The sequence below is a fragment of the Homo sapiens genome, chromosome 13 (assembly GCF_000001405.40).
Source record: "Homo sapiens chromosome 13, GRCh38.p14 Primary Assembly".
In the NCBI taxonomy this organism is placed as follows: Eukaryota; Metazoa; Chordata; class Mammalia; order Primates; family Hominidae; genus Homo; species Homo sapiens.
The window spans coordinates 99,961,186-99,977,587 of NC_000013.11; the positions used below are offsets into that span (position 1 = coordinate 99,961,186).

Here is a 16,402-nt window from a genome sequence, read left to right on the forward strand (position 1 = left end):
ATTAATAATAAGCGGCTGGGTTGTTTTGTTTGCCTTGTGATCAGCCTTCTTTTCTGCTGGCTTAAGGTGATCACTTGAGAAACCAGATGTCTCCCCTGCCCCCTCCCCAGGAGCTGGATTTCCTAACCCAACTGGGATTTAAAAATACTAGTGGCCAGCACCTCTTGTCCCATTTCATAGACAGACAGAGAGATGACAGATGATAGATTACTGGGTGGGTAAAACCACAATGGTCTCCAAAACCTTCCCCAAAGTGGAAGAGATCACTTATGAGAGTGTAACATGTTTGCAGATAGTTGGGCCTCCTCTTTTCCTGTCCCCAGTGTTATGATGCTTGTGTGGCCATCTCCAACTCCTTAAGAGAATATAATTCCCACCCTCAAACTCTATGGAGTTTAGATTTTAGGACCATTAGCTTTACCAAGAGCATCCTGAATGGGGAAAATATATATACATAAATTTCAAATAATTGTGTGTTTGAAGATTCTCCTAGCCTGCAAAACAAAGGTAGATGATTTAAACAGTATTTGCAAGGGCCACGTTTTGCCTAGGGAAGATGAAGTCTTTGATGATAGCCAACTTAGTGTCAATAAGTGGCTTTCTTTGAGACATATTCAGATGGGAACGTCTTGCTTGCCAATTGCCATAGAAATCTTAACACACCATGAAGATTGTCCGAGCGCCAAGCCTTCCGTTCTGGACTAAATTACTTTGAAGTGGCGCAGTACGAGCAGTGGTCAATTTTAACTCTATAGACTGGACAGAGAATGCTGGGAGTGGGAGATTGTGCGTTTTAAAGCAGAAAATAAGAAGGGGAAACTTGTTTTATACACTCTATACAAGGTTCTGCTCATTGTCAGATATCTTTTATCTTTTATATTTCCCATGAATGATTCATGTCTTGGTGGCTTTGTGTCACCCTTCTTTTCACAAGAAACTTCATTAGAGAGCTATAAGTTTTCCCATTGATTGGGGCCCTCATTTATGAGTGTTTTTCTCCTTCGTGTGCTGGTTATTGTCATCTGAGTTAAAACAACTCTTTGCAACCTGTTTCACCTTTACTACATTTAACAAACCTGACTTTTAAAAGCCACTATAACCTTTCAGAGAAATGCTTATTGACATTACTAGCAGTTGCTTTTAACTATCTGACTTTTATCAGTTTTGTATCTGCTAACAAAAACACAAGCAAACATCCAGCCTTGTAAATGTGCATAGCCAAACACCTGCATTTAAGCCACTTGAATATTTTGCTGCCATGCAAGAATCTAATTGTTCAACACACCTGGCCCAAAATGCTGAGCTTAAATTACCAATAGCCACTCAACTTCCAGAACAAACTACAGTAAAATTGCATCTTGATCTCCCACGCCATAAGAGGCATTTGATGCCCACTACTCAATTTCATTCAATACCTATCTCAGCCCCTGACTGATTTTGCTTTCACCTTCTTTTTGTCTAGAAGCCTCACCGTCCCTTCCTCCACATTTTCTTTATTCTTTTTTTTCCTTTTGGAGGCTGGGCACCAAAGAAATGCTAAAATTCACTTTTTGGCTTTTCACTGATTAGAATCAATCAGGATATTACTTATTTTAACAAATAAATGCAGTAACCCAAAAGATTTATGCTACTGTAAGTATAACCTGCAAGGCTTAGTCTTCATAAATATCTGTGTTTCCTAGATAAGCTTGTAAGTTGTTAAGTTAAACCAGGCTGCAAAAATATTGTATTGCTTGGGGAGAGGCTGAGAAATCAAGAGACCAAGGGAAGACATTCACTCCATTAGCAACCTGTTCTATTTGTATGAGAGATATGCCATTATGTAAAACATAAGCAATAATAACAAGAATACCTTTATTAAATTTGTTACTTCATAATCATTCTTGCTTGCTCTCTATTGGAGGTACACATTTTTTTTTATTTTAGGTGTATCAAGAACCAATAAATCTGTGGCAAAGAGTTAACCTATGCATGGTAAAATACATAAAATACATATTCCTTTGTTTCATAATAAATAAACCTGTAGCATAATAAAGAATAGTGCAAACTACCATTGAAAAAGTTGTATAAATAAAACAACTCATTATACATCAGGAATATTTTGTTCTAATAAGTTTACGATACATAAATTATCCCCCCAAAAGTTCATACCTTTTCTATTTGAAAGGGCTTTGAAAGTGAATAATATGAAAATCAAATAAACTTTTAAAATGTAAAATTATCTCATATTCAAGTTTTAAGGTCTTTTTCTTTATAAAGGAGGGTCTGCATGTTTCATATTCATCACAACAATCTGAAGACAACATTGAAAGGCTTTCCAAGTGACAGCACCATGCACTGTACTAGTAATATAATATATCTATAAACTATATATAATCTTATCAACACAATGCAAAAAAGACATGCAGGAAGAGTCTTGGTTTTCACATTACGTTGTTCATTCAAGTAAGCTTAAAAATATATTTTTCCATTTTCTTTCCTTTTTTTTTTAAATAAACCATGGATCATAAATGACAATCTTTCACCAAAATGTATAATATAATTCTTTGGTGTGCTTTGAACTCTTCCAGGAAAGAAAAAAAAAAAGGATGATGTCTGAAAATAAATTAATTCAACTGTACAAATAATAGTGTTCACATACAAGTTATTAACAATGACAAGACTACATCAACCACTCACAGCACACAAAACAAATTTCTACAAACCCTGGGGAGGGGGTGTCTTCGGGGTCTCTAAGGATAAATTAGTGCTCTTTAGTGTATCTGTAGGATGTTTCTGATGGACTACATTTTGCACAGGAGATGTGTTGTACCAACCGAAAATAAATCGACTAAGAGTTATTGTCCTAGGTCCTTGACCTTTTTTATCCTAGCTTGACAGCTCTGGCAAAGGTCACACATTCATCAGTGTTTGGTGGTAACTATAAACCTTTTAAAAATTTTTAATATGTATGGCAACTCCCTCCCCTCTTTTAATGTAAATCATACACTTCACACACTGTCATTTTCAAATGGATTCCAGTTTGGTGTGCTCAGTGCTCAGGTGGAAGAAAATGCATTAAAATGCAGTTTCAGGCATTGAAAAATAGACTTTTTAAAAGGCTGATACAACAGTATAAAAGAGGTGTTGGCCTGTTTTAAAAACAACAGCTTTCCAAAAAAATAGGCATGATGCCATCATCACACCTCCTCAAGACTTGACTGTGAATGTTGGCATCCCAAAGAACTTAGGATCGAAAACAGAATCTCTTTATTACACAAGAAGTTTGGACACAGTTAGGAGGCAGTATCTGAGAATTCAGATAAAAAAAAAAAAACATATAGGAAAAAGAAAGCACTTGAATTTCTTCTATTTTATAAAATATCACAGTTTCACAGTTGTCTTTTGCAGCAGCTTTTCTTCTCTCCACTTTTGCTTGAACAATCACAGTAGCACAAGATATGGAGATATATTAAGGTTGCTGCATCTTTTTTTAAAATCACACAGTAGGATACTGAAGAAATAATCCTGTATAAAAATATTGTATTAAGCTAAGATCAGTAATAAAAGAGTGGAAATTAAAAATTACAAATATTAAACTCAAAGGGTTTTTACAAATGTTTTTGGACACAGGTACGGAACAGGATCTGTTGGCAATGCAGCAGGTGTGTGGTTTACAATCAAGAGGCCTTGGCAGAATTAGGGTCCAACAAGGAGGCTCAAAAGCAGCCCATGGTATGGTGTCAAAGGCATTTGAGAGGCACTCTGGGAAATGCAGAGGGCCTTGGTGCTGTGTTAAGTTCTGACTTAATGCTCTTTTTCTCCCCCTTTTAAAAAAAATAATATATATATATATGTATATATATATATATATATATATTGCATCGGCAGTGTGTATCGCCATTAACTAATCTCTCCATTCATTTTCCTTGGTACAATTTGCCCCCAGCCCCATCCTCCTGCAATGTACAAGTCCAGCTTGGTTGTTTTTTGTTTGTTTTTTAAGAAAAAAAAAAAAAAAAGCCCAAATATCTTAATTAAATTAATTAAATGTACAAACACCATAGGGTTTCATACTGAATAAATAGGGCTAATTAGACCCGGTGGCAAGTCTGAGTCACGGGTTTGTCTCAGGCTCGGCATTGTCTCAGGTTAGGATGTGGTCCAAGGACTCCCACTTATTATTTCACTTATTATTATTAATAATAAATTCTAATGTATCGTCCGCACAACTTCAGGGTTCCCGTAAATTTCCTCATCTTCAGTCTCAGAGGTGGTTCCGTTGCTGGAAGGGGTGTGGAGGTGGCTGGGGGCCCCACTGGCCTGGCAAACGTACCACTCATTGAGGTTGGTCACCTGAGGGGACAGAGTGCTGGAGTGACTCCTGGCTGGGTCCAGCACAGGGGACAAGGGGGCGCCCACTGGAGTCCCCACTGATGAGTAACCAAGGGGTCCTGGAGAAGGTGGCGGGGACTTGCAGTGAATCTTCATGTGCTTCCTCAGGGAGCTTGGGTGAGTGTAGGATTTGTCACAGCCTCGAATCTTGCAGTAGTAGGGCTTGTCACTGGTGTGGACATGGGAATGTTTCTTCCGATCACTGCTATTGGCAAACTTCCTGTCACAGCCATCAAATTCACATTTGAAAGGCTTTTCCCCTGCAAGGAAACACAGGAAAGGTCAACAATGGCTTTCCAAGACCCCTCTCTTGACAGAAATCTTGAAGCAGAACCAAGGTTGTGTTTTTCCTATTCTCCCAGAGACCAACTCCCAGCCTAATTCTTCTTCCTAATTCACAAAAGGGAAGGGATGCTTCAGGGATGGGCCTGGATTCTGCTGACCTGGTGGCTTTGCCTGGACCTGGGCTCCTGAGAGGCTGTCAGGCCCTGCAGTCCCAGAGGGATCAGGGTGAGATCCCTAGTGCTGAGCTAAGGGCCAGAATGTAACACTGAAACCCACCTGGGACCCGCAGACCCCCTCCCCCGACAGACACACTCCCCTCAGGGTCTGTACACTCAAAAACACAAGCAGGAGATCCTCCTGTCAAAATAAACACAAAATGATACTTCCAAAGCCACAGGCGGAAGTAAGCGTATAAGAAAAAGAGAAAAAAGCAAACACATACACTAAATTAAAAGTAAACTGGGGGGTACAGTCAAATTATAATAATGGCATTTCCTTTCAGTGTTCTCCAGGATTTCATTGAAGGAGAGGGGCATCAGGAGAGAACGTGGAGATGGGAAAGGGAAAGAGGTAAAACAAAACAATGTTTTTCTTTAGAAATAGAGGCACCTGTGAAACATACTCCCACCACTCGATTTTTACAGGGCTAGCTGGGCAGAGAACAGGCTGTTGACCTCTGCATTCTACAGCTTTCCTCACTACTTGCAGGGCAGTTAAGAGCACAGCAGATCGAGCTTTAACATACATTAATAAAGACCACAAGCCTTAGCAGAACCTACCTTTACTTTATGCCATAAGTATACTTACTCTCACAGCTCCCTACATTGCTTACTAGTCAAAAAGACCTTAAAAAAATTTAAAAAGGCCAGGGTCTTTTGGCTGTCACCTCCTTAAGCTGGCCTAACCACCCCACAAACACGCCTTTAAACACAAGGCCTCTAGTCCAGGAAATGGAAATACTTAATAAGACAACTAGAGAAATTCAGCCACACTACATTTTGGTGTTAAACAGCAAGAAAAGGAAGACAGCAGGTAACAGTCTAACTGAATTTTCCCTCTCCCCTTGGTATCTCTGAACTTGATAGAGTTGAGTCCATAATTAAACAAGTCATTTCATACATATTATTGAATTAATATTTTCCTCTTTTAGGTAAATAATTTAAAAATAAAGTTGAATTTCTCATATTTCAGCAGCTACTCTGGTGATACACTAGGTATGACATTTTCTTTTGTTTTGGATAACTTGTTTTCAAAAACAAACTGTTAAGCCTCAGCTTAGTGTACATACATTTCTGTGGTGACTTTTCTTACACCCTCTGCAGATATTTTACTGTAGTGAGTTTTTAAAAAATATTTCGCCAACGATAACTGCTTCCATGGCAGAGTATGCTAGCACATCTGAGAGTATTCAGGCAGATGCCTGGAATTTAACTTTCCCTACCTGGAAATACTGTTTAAAAACAGAATTAGACATTATTCAAATATGCCTCCTACAGTGATGTATAAAGAGAGAAAAAACAACCCCATGATAATCACAACCTCGAAAAATTCTCTGTAGATGAGCTTTAACAAAAACAAAGCTAATCCCTTTTTATCAAAACATCAGTGATTTGTCCTGATTTCTACATTACACTTTAAGTCGTAGATAAGACCAAGTTAACATCATATTCTTTTTAAGAAATTAAAATCAGCCTTTCTTCAATATGGAGGCGTAATTACATGGGTTTACTCATCCACCCTACGCGAAGGTGCAATGCTGTTTTTGAGCATGGTCGTTTCTGTTCAACCTACATATCCCGGGTTGTGAAGAAACGCTTTGAACACTGCTAACTCCTCCACTGCACATGAAAAAGGGGAACAATTAGACTCAGGAAAGGGACAGATGTCGTGGAAGGAAAGGTAGAACATTAGAGTTAAATAAAGGAAGAGGTGCACGGAGAAAACAGAAGAAAACAAGGCAAGGGCGATGGAAAGGCCTGTGTTGTTCAGGGGGCCTAAGGGGAATAAGCAAATTCTACCTAACTAGAAAGGCTGAGAGACCTCAGTGTTTACATTTAAGATTCTGATAGACGAGTCACGTCAGAATTTAACTATTTACAGAGTTTGAGAGCCTGGAGCCTGTGGGAAAGTAAGGAACTACTTGCGGACCCCGCCAGCTCCTAGCAGCTCCCTCTCCCGAGAGAGCGCGAGTCGGGCCCGCGGGACGGTTATAAACGGGACTGGGGGCACGTGGGTCAGGAAAGGGGCCTTCGGAAGTGGCCCGGGGATTAGTCCCTTTGATCAATCCGTTCCGGGATCCCGGATAACCCCCAAAAGGGAGAGCGGCGTGGCAGGGAGGGAAAGAAGTCCGGATGGGCCCTCTCAGAACACAATGTCCAATAGCTGAGCGGCCCAGGGACCGCCAGAAACACCAAGCGCGGGTTGGAGTCTGAACCCGAGGCGCCTGCGTCCCTCCCGCAGGGACCCCCACGCTCCACCGGGTGGGGCCCACGCGGCCGCCGGGAGGGGGCAGGAAATGCAACCGTCCGCGAGACGCAGAGCCAAAAACCCAAATGACCGCGGGTCCCCTCGCCGCCTGGGGTCCCCCGCGCCCCCCCCGACCCCACGCACGCGCGCGTGCCCCGGGAAGCCACCGGGGACAGTGCGCAGGGCGTGGCCTGTCCCGCCGGGGGCCCGGATCGGCTTCTGCGCCCGCAGCTCCCGGCAGCCGCCTAGGGAAGGCCGCTCCCCTCGCGAGGCCTGGGCAGGCGGGAAGGGCCCTAGGCCGCGCGCGGCCCCGCGCTTGGGAGTTCCCTTTCGGGGCCGGGCTGGGGAGCGGCTTCACGGTCCCTGGATCCTGCCCTGCCGAGAAGTGCTGGGCACAGGAGCGAGCAGCCGGCTTAGCGGGCCAGGGCGTTTTTACGAGAGCCTCCTGGGAAGTTTCTTCCTGGAAAAATCATTAAGGCGGACTGATCCCGATTAGAGAGAAAAGGGGCTCCTGGGAAAACGTGCTCCCCACCGGCCATCAGGCGGCCCGCAGGAGCCAAGCCAAGGCTCCCGCCTCGGGCCACCCCGACGCTGCTGCCCCCGCAGAGCCCCGAGCGCCCCCGGCCCGAGCGTGGGACCCGGCGGCTACCTCCTGGCCGCAGCAGCGCCGATAAATCTGCCAAGTGATTACTGAACGTAAACTCCAGTTACTTAAGTGTCCTCCGAGGGGTAATCGTATCTGTCCCTATAAATCCCGACTGCGTTCGCGCTCATCAGCGCTTCCGCCCGACGCGCTGGTCCGCTCAAAGGGGGCACACGACCCACAGGAGCCATCCACCGCCTCGCGCCGCAGCCGCCCTCCTCAGCGCTGTGGGATCCCCAGAGGCAGGGCTTGAGGTGGGGTGGGAGGGTCCCCACGACGCCGGTGGCTCCCCACCAATTCCACGACAGGGTAGGCCTCACCGATGGTGGGAGGCTCGGGTCCTCCTACAACTAGAACCTTCTCTAGAAAGGCAGATGTCAACTCCAGCACCCTCCAGGGCGAGTGTGATACTGCGTGTGAGAGGGCGCGTGGGGCGTGTAAATGATGTGAGTGTGAGGACACACAGGTGTCGCGGGAATGGGGTGCACGCGCAGGAGGATATGAGTGTGTAAAGTTGTGGGAGACGCACGCAGAAGAAGGTGTGCGTGAAGAGTGTGTCACGGTGGGCGAGTGCGAGTGGTCTCCGGGGTTCCGAAAGCGCATTCCTGTCTTCCCGGAGGGGTCCCTTCCCCTCCCGGAAGGCCTGCCTCGGGCGGCCCAAATCCGGCAGCAAATCCCACGCCCGGTCCTCGGAGCGCGGAGACTGCGCGGGGCCTACGACCCGGTGGGAAGAGAGGCGCTTGCCGGGGCGGCCCGGCCTCTCTTTCCATCGCCCTCCCAGACTTCCCAGGGCCGGGCGGGTGGGGACTGCCGACCGTCCTGGGCGCCTTCCTGCTCCAGCTGCTGCTGCGTCTGCTCCGAGGTGGCGGCGGCGGCGGCTGGCGCGCGTTGCGGGTCCCGGCCGAGGGGCTGCGGGCGCGCTGGAGACTCCGCCGTGTGGGAACCCAACGCGGGGCCTGTGTGTGCTATCGAATTACTTATTCATAGAAAAAAAAAAGGGGGGGAGAGAAAAAAAAAGAAGTCACATGTCCGGGTTATACGTATGCGAAGAGAAGCAGCAGAAGGAGAAAAAAATTAAGGCGAGCAGGAGGAGGAGGAGAAGCAGCGGCGGAAGCGGCGGCGGCGCAGGAGCTGGTGGCGGCGGCGGCGGCGCGGCCGGGGACAGACACCCACCTGTATGAGTACGCTTGTGGATCTTGAGGTTCTCGGAGCGCGCGAAGACCTTGCCGCAGCCGGGGAAAGGGCAGGGAAAGGGCTTCTCGCCGGTGTGCACGCGGATGTGGTTGATGAGCTTGTATTTGGCCTTGAAGGGCTTGCCCTCGCGCGGACAGTCCTCCCAGAAGCAGACGTGGCTGCTCTGCTCGGGGCCTCCCACGTGCTCCACCGTGACGTGATTCACCAGCTCGTGCATGGTGCCGAAAGTTTTGGAGCAGGGCTTGGCGCCGCCGGCCGGGGGCGGTGGCGGCGGCGGCGGCGGCGGCGGCGGCGGCGGCGGCAGCCCGGCCAGCTCGTCGGGGTCGATCCACTTGCAGATGAGCTCCTGCTTGATTGGCTGCCGCATGTAGCGCAGGAAGGCCCCAGCCGCCCCTGGGAGGTGGGGGTGGTGCTGGTGCGGGTGCTGCGCGGGCGCCGGCGGCGGCGGCGGCGCCGGGGGCGGCGCGTGGTGCTGCAGGTGGGGCCCGGGCCCGGCCGCTGCTGCGGCCGCCGCAGCCGCCAGGTTCAGGTTTAAGTTCACGGCTCCGTAGCCGTGCAGGGCGGCCGCCGCTGCGGCCGCAACCGCCCCGTAGTGCGCGTCCCCAGAGCGCGGCGCGAAGGGCGGTTCGGCGCGGCCGTACAGCTCAGCCGCCGCGGCTGCCGCTGCCGCCGCCAGCCCCAGGCGCATCTGGCCGTTGAGCGGGTGCGGGTGGCCGCCTGGGGCCCCCGGCGTGTCGTGCAGCGCGGGGAAGAGCGCCGGGCCGCCGCTGCCGTCCGGGCCCGCGTAGGTGCCGCTGGCGGAGATGAACATGCCGGCCGAGTGGGGAGGCGGGGCCGGGTGCTGGGGGGAGCCGGTGCCGGACCGCTGCTCCCCTCCGAGCGGGGCCCCGTGCATGGCCGCCGCGGGGGCCGTGGCGGAAAGGTCCCTCCGGAGGACGAAGTCCCTGCTGTGGCCTTTGCCGCTGCTGCCGCCGCCGCCACTGTTGGTGGTGGTGTAGCCCGAGAGGGCAGGAGGAGGAGGAGGCGGGGGAGGGGGAGGGGGTGAAGGGGTGGGAGGAAGAGGAGGGGCTGGGGGCGGGGGCGCGGAGGGCTGCGCGCCACTGCTGCCCCCGCCGCAGGGGTAGCTGCCCGCGCCGGGGTGCGCGACCAAGGCTGCAGCACGGGCGGCGGCTGCCGGAGCCTCCGGGTGTGCCGGGAACGCCTGGGAGGGAGGGCTGAGGCCCAGCGTGCTCGCCTGGGCCATGTGCTCGGGTCCGAGCGGAGTGGTGGCCACGCCGGGGTCAGCGCCCAGGTCCCGCAGGCGGAGGTGCGCGACGGCGGCCCGGAGTTGGGAGTGGGCGGGCGGGCCGGCCAGCGCCGGGAAGCCTGTCATATTCTGAAGCGGCTGGACCTGAGCCGTTGCCAAATCCGCTAATCTCAGCGCTGGCGGGTTCCTCTTGCTCAAAGGGGGCTCCATCAGAACTACACAATCAGGCCCATAGACCCTCACTGGGGGGACTTTATTCCCTCTGCCCGCCTTCAAAAACATGTATGTATTGGGCGCTCTTTAACTTCTTTTGTCCTGGCCTCTTAACTCTGCTTATTCCTGTTCCCACTCTATCCTCCAGCGATTGGCAGAGTGAACACCACATTTGAGCTGCACAGTGGGACCGAGATTTTGGAAATGGCACGGGTGGGATTGGAGGGAGCCGCGTGATTGGCAGTAGCCTCGGCTGCTCGATTGGCTCCCGTTCAGGCCCTCGACCCAGCGGGGATTCGCCCCCGTGCTTGCGGCCGCCTGCGCTTTCGCTTCGCGCCCCCTCCTCCGCTGGAGCCACACGTCCCCGCCTCCCCGGGGATGCCCAAGTTGCACTTGCAGAAAGTTTGAGCCTGGCCTGCGCGCGCAGCGCCCCGCTCTTCCTTGACGCACCTCGCGGAGCGCGCGCCGGCACGCGGGCAGAGGGCGCGGGGTGGTGAGGGGCTGAGGACCCCCGAGGGGCAGTCCCAGTTTCAAAAACCTTGGCCTCACTTCTCTGTGTGCCTTCTGGCACCCAAGTACTTTCTGCCTCTACCTCCACCTCTCTTGTGGGGTGGAAGAGCCCTGGGCTGCTGTTTGGGAGAGAAGGGTGAATAGCCCGTCCTACCTGTAGTGGTGATGCTAGAAACTTCTTGTTTGGACACCCAACCTGCCTAGCGCTCACCTAGGGCGCATAGACAGTAGACGGAGTGAAGAAGATAAAGTCTATTGGTTGCAAGACAACTTGAGTGATTTGGCTCCGCGAAACACCAGGTGAAGTCAAAATAAGTCTTTCCCCCAAAGGAACCGTTTTACCTCGACTTTTTATCTCATGGAGAGTCCTTTTCAACATGGTTCAAAGGAGTTGGATGGAAGTGTAATCTCACTACTCATCGGTTCTAGATCTGCCACTTCCAATTAGATCTACAGTAGGGGCGGGGGAGAGGAGATCGGGCAGCGATTCTAACTTTTGCCTTTCGGAGATACAGTGGCGGGGCAGGCCAAACGGCATCTCTGCAGAGAGAAGCCGCTAAATAAGCACCGTCCTTTAAGTAGAATTTCTCCTTCCGGTCCAGATCCCAGTCCACAGTCCACATGTATGCCTCAGTTTCTTTGACTGATCCACAATTAGAACTGATCCAATAAAATATTATTTTGAAATCAAGAAATATCTTTGCTTTTTATTTACTGATAGAATAATCTTTCACCTTTTTATCGTTTTCTCATAAACCAGTCTACCTCTAAGATGTCTTATTTGAAAACCATAAAAACTGGCTTTTAAAAAAGCGAATCCCATCCCTTTCCAGAGGTTTGGTATCAAATCGATTTTTTAAAAATAGAAATTCCCTGCATCACTTTTTGGTGGGCGGAGAAATGTGGGACCCTCCCCCCAAATTAAGGATTTTACTGCCCCAAAAGTGTCCTTTTCAGATTTTAAAAGAAAGCATTTTTGAAATTTGTGATGTTACAAAATGCTCAAATATTAAAGCCAGGATTTTAAAATTTGTATTTTGCTGTCATCCGTAACATTACTTGTAAAAAAAAAAAAAGTGATAATGATTAGAATGTGATCTTTTTCTTTGGGGATACAATAAAATATGTTTCCAACTTAATTCATTTGCAGTCCAAGTAAAAGTAGACTGCACAAAGCCGTTATTGGGGAGATGGCCGTGGGAAGTAATCAGAAATATTCTGAAAAGAGTTGATTCGATAGTGCCATTCACATTGGTGTGAACGATGTTTAACAGGGGGCTTCGGTATGAGACTTAGGAATGTCATTTCTTTTATAAAACTGACAAGCAAACAAAGACAATGCTACCATCAAATTTCAAATGGACTTTTTCTTTAAGTTGCAATGAAGTTCAAATATGGGGAATTAAAGGCATGTGTGGAAACACAACGAAAAAATTTTAATAAACAGCAGTAACAAAATCTTCATCTCACTTTGGAAACGACGAGTCCTTTCACAATTTTTATGTCAAAGACTTAAAACATTTCAAGCCAACCAGGCAAAGGTTGATCGAGAGCTGTGCCATCTCTATGGATAGTTTATGGAGAAAGCATCATATTTGGAATTATCACTGTCATCGTTTCCTCTCTGAACATTTCCAATGAGTTTCCTTTATTTGAATTTCTTGGCAATAAGCATTAATTCTTGCAGTAATGGCAGCTTTGGGTTCAATCCTGCAGGTTATAAGTAAAAACAAAACAAAACAAAATGAATAAAGAAAGAAGAAAATAAACACAAGCTAGCCTTTAATATGGACTGTTGAGCATTTTTATTGTGCAATAAAATGGGTACCTCCACCCCCTTCAAAATAGCTTTTCGTCAAAATTATAACTGCTTTGTTTTATTGAATTGCTGAAATTTAATGGTTTAATGGGTGAAGGCATGAAGGAAAGGCTGTAAAAATGTGAATAATGGTGTAGCAGAGCCGTGCGGAATCTGGAACCCGCCTCCTTGTACAACTCTTGTTAAACACAGCGTGATATGTATCTGTCATCGATTTAATATGTCTTAATTCAAATATAGCTCCCTGATCAATTTCTTTTTATGGAAGCCTTAAAAAAGAAAAGACTTTCTTAGGAAATAATAGAGATTTGGGTAGCGATAGGAAAGAGGGATATTTACAAAGTGAGTTTAATGAATATTTGCAAATTTATGACCAAACCTAGACCCTAAAAAGATAATTGACTCAGGTAAATCGACTTGAGATGCTAATTCTTAAAAGAAAAGACTGGGAGCAAAATTTCAATCAACACCAATAAGGCGCCAATAAACCGCCTGCCAATTAAACCTGAGAATAGGCCTAGCTAGATGGTCATCAGGAAGGCTTGCAGTGGATTTCCGGGATTGCCTTTCTTTATAAAAGAGCTTTTTATTTTGTAGAAGCGCTTTTTGTTATTGTGATGACCCGCCTGACCCCAGGTGCGCTGTTTCTTTTTCAAGCTATTTGGGAGCCAAATCAAACCCCCTTAACATCCCAAGTTTCTGAAGACCCAATAATTCTGTCACACTTCCTAAATAAACACCAACAATTTCCAGGGCGCTGAAGGGAATAATAATACTAGTTTTAAAAGCAGGGGGCTGTGGAAGGCGTTATGCCAATTCTTCTGGGGGTTTGGCCCGCATATTTCGACGGTGGTGCTGGTCGTCAGGGCCAGTCCTCAAATCCATGCCCCTTTCTGCGTTTTGCAGCGGAGGTGCCTGCGTGGAGGCAGCAAAGTGGCAAGCCATGGAAATGTCCTTTCTGGAGTTAGCAAGGGCTCTTGCGGGGCGTGTATTTCCAGACCTCTAGGTTGCACCCCGAACCCCAACCTCCTTCCAACCCCAGACAAAGGCGCGAGTAGGTTGGGGAGGTGAGAGGCCCAGTAAATGGCCAGCTAACCAGAACCCAGGTTGGCTGAGTTAACCGCGCTCAGCTGCCTGGAGGCCACGGGACCCGATCTCTGGGGATGCTCGAGCTGGCGCTTGCGGCTTCCCGCTGCGCGTAGTGGGGGACTGAGGCTCCACCGCTCCCCCGGTGCCCTCTGTATGTCACCGAACACAGCCAAGTTTCCTGCGAGGGGTGTGGGCAATTAATAAACTCTAAGGGAAGTGAATTGGACATTTCCTGGCTTTTGAGCCTTTGTTTGATTGTTTCTGCAGGCGGAGGGAGGGGGATCTCGGGGACGGTGGGGTGGACAAGAAAGGAGCTGGGGGACCCACCGAACCGCCCTTTATTGCCCCTGCAATTGCTTTACGACTCGCTGGTCCCGCGTGGTTTCTGTGAGAGCGGCCTCCCTGCAGAAGGACTGGGTGTCGGCGGGTTTGGAGCATCTAGTGTCATTTAGGCCGCGCCAGGGGCGGGTTCAAGGGCGAATGGGGCACCCAAATTACTAGGGGAATCGAAGGACCTTTGAACCCCAGCCCAAGGGCGCCAATGGGTGCTTAACAGGCGCGGAAGTAGGGGGTTGCTAGCAGACACTGGAAAGGGCCTGATGGTCCACTGAGACCTTTCGTAAAAGCTAGGGCGGGGTGGGCAAAGGCACCGGCACAGCTGTATTTTAGTAGAGCTTCGCCAGGGCCGTAAGTGATGGTGACTTTGGGTTCAAGGGTTTTCCCAAATCAGGTTGGCCAGGCACTAGGCAGGGAGTTTCAGGGCAGCCTCTCCTGGCCGCCCGCCCCGTCTGCACGAGGCAGGGACCGGATCCCCCATCCCCACCTTCCGGCCTTGGCAACTCGCAATCTGACTTGCGTTGGGGGCTGCGACTGGCCCAAGGCCTTGGGGTGCTCAGAATCGCTCCGCAATTGGCAGCCCTCCCAGGGGCTCTCGGAGGGTTACTGCCCTCCTGAGGTGGCGCTGAGTCCTGAGGCTCCACGGATATGTGTGGAGCTAAAAGTATCCAGAAAAGTGCTTCTAATAGCCCTATCACACTTATGTAGACTTAATGAGGATGAAAAGGCAGAAGACTGGGGCTGTGTGGCCACGACTGATACGTTGGATTCTGTGGAGATTTGTTTTGTCTTGTTGTTTGTACAGTCATGAAGTGGGCCTATCCCATGTCCACCTCACCTTTGTGGTTGAAAGCCATTGAAAAACTATCACTCCCTTTACTTCCTTACTACTAAAGAATAAGTTCAATACAATTTGACTGTTATCAAATACTTTCATTTGGTTTGCAGTCATTTCTACCCTCAGAGATGGAGGTTGTTGGAGAAAGACCTTTGACCTACAGTTGACCATTAGGATTGACAATTTCTTGGGAAATGCATTATTGTTCTAAAATATGTTCCAGAAGGTCAAAACAACGACAGAACTCTCTTACATGTTCACAGTTCATATAACCACCCAATATTTATTTGTGTTGGCCCCTCGATGTGCTTCTCCTCCCCTTCATCTCTTATCCTTTAGGATGTTTTTGGATGGGAAATGAAGGAGAAGTAGAGTTTGTGCGGTTAAAAATAAAATCTCAAATTTCTTGGGTAGTTCCTCCCACTCCACACCCCTTCCAATATCTATACTTCAATATTTGAAGAAGCTGTTGAGATAAATCAAATAGTGACACGTTGATGGATTTACTTGTGTAAGCAATATGGTTGACATATGGCACTGTTATTTATGAATGACAGCATAAATTGTATTACAAAGTCTATTGCAATAATACTGCAGTTTATTGGAAAGCTGCTCGCCTGTCATCTGTATTCAATCTCTCTGGATATAGTTCGCCTGGGAGCCCAAAGGATAGGTCTTCAGAATAATTAAACACATTCACGTAAGCTAATGCCTCCTATTTTTTGTTGTTTGGTTTTGTTTGTTTTTCAGCAGTAGAATCACTCCCATCAGGAAGGAGAAGACAAGTAAGGACAATTAATTCTCTTCCTTTTGGAAAACCACAACCACTGACTATCACCATTGCAGGGGTAAAGGCCAGGGTGGTTGATGTCTTCTATTTTTTCTGAGTCCCTTTTGACAAATACACAAATATTTACATCCCTATCACTAAACTGCTGGTGAGCACATATTTTATATGGAGACTTTTTATAAGCCCAGTTACAGAACAGTAAATTTTAACTGTAGGAAGAAAAGACATTCTTTTAGCAAACTAGAGAGGGCCTTATCCTATCACAACCTCATTCAGCACCCCCACTTCTTAAAAATGGTATTTAAAAGTTACAACATTGGCTGAGATTTTCACAATTTCCCCTTCTTTTACATTACACTTCTCTAAAGCACTAACAAAGAACTTTTGTTCTAGGTGGATTTTATAGAGGGGGCTCCCGCACCACACATGTGGTCCTTCATGGGTCAGGGGTCACCCAGCCCAGGAGTGGCTGAGAAGGCGGAATCAAAGGTGCCTTGCAACTTAATATCCTGTTGATGATCTTGTTGAATTTATGAGTCTGTGATACAGATGATGGTGCTGGAATCCTATGAAATCCACCCCCCTGCTTTTTTTTTTTT

The 16,402-nt window shown here is 48.1% G+C and overlaps 1 protein-coding gene across 3 annotated transcripts, besides 2 other annotated features; it reads right to left on the minus strand.

The window, feature by feature from the left end:
- ZIC5 (Zic family zinc finger 5) lies at positions 1,779-10,724 on the minus strand. Of its 3 annotated transcripts, NR_146224.1 has the most exons (3): positions 8,942-10,724; positions 8,584-8,744; positions 1,779-4,634 (listed from the first exon to the last, which is right to left on the minus strand). NR_146224.1 is itself a non-coding variant. In NM_033132.5 (2 exons), the coding sequence occupies exons 1-2, from the start codon at positions 10,416-10,418 to the stop codon at positions 4,192-4,194; spliced, it is 1,920 nt and encodes a 639-aa protein (NP_149123.3). In that variant the 5' UTR covers positions 10,419-10,582; the 3' UTR covers positions 1,779-4,191. The 3 variants fall into 3 exon arrangements, 1 of the variants encoding a protein (NP_149123.3); NR_146225.2 differs by lacking the exons at positions 8,584-8,744; positions 8,942-10,724 and adding an exon at positions 7,775-7,987; NM_033132.5 differs by lacking the exon at positions 8,584-8,744 and having other exon boundaries at positions 8,942-10,582.
- Positions 13,029-13,571: an enhancer, noted in NCBI's record as "OCT4-NANOG-H3K27ac-H3K4me1 hESC enhancer chr13:100626468-100627010 (GRCh37/hg19 assembly coordinates)". NCBI's record gives its function as "activates a minimal SCP1, AML or CMV promoter by ChIP-STARR-seq in primed H9 embryonic stem cells {active_cell/tissue: H9 hESC(primed)}" and the evidence as "EXISTENCE:reporter gene assay evidence [ECO:0000049][PMID:30033119]".
- Positions 13,572-14,112: an enhancer, noted in NCBI's record as "H3K27ac-H3K4me1 hESC enhancer chr13:100627011-100627551 (GRCh37/hg19 assembly coordinates)". NCBI's record gives its function as "activates a minimal SCP1, AML or CMV promoter by ChIP-STARR-seq in primed H9 embryonic stem cells {active_cell/tissue: H9 hESC(primed)}" and the evidence as "EXISTENCE:reporter gene assay evidence [ECO:0000049][PMID:30033119]".

Bases quoted from the DNA above. Each gene is read 5' to 3' on its own strand.
- ZIC5 (NM_033132.5), bottom strand. From the start codon at position 10,418: ATGGAGCCCCCTTTGAGCAAGAGGAACCCGCCAGCGCTGAGATTAGCG. The intron at 4,635-8,941 runs GTGGGTGTCTGT...GTTTCCTTGCAG, and splicing joins CCACAAGCGTACTCATACAG to GGGAAAAGCCTTTCAAATGT.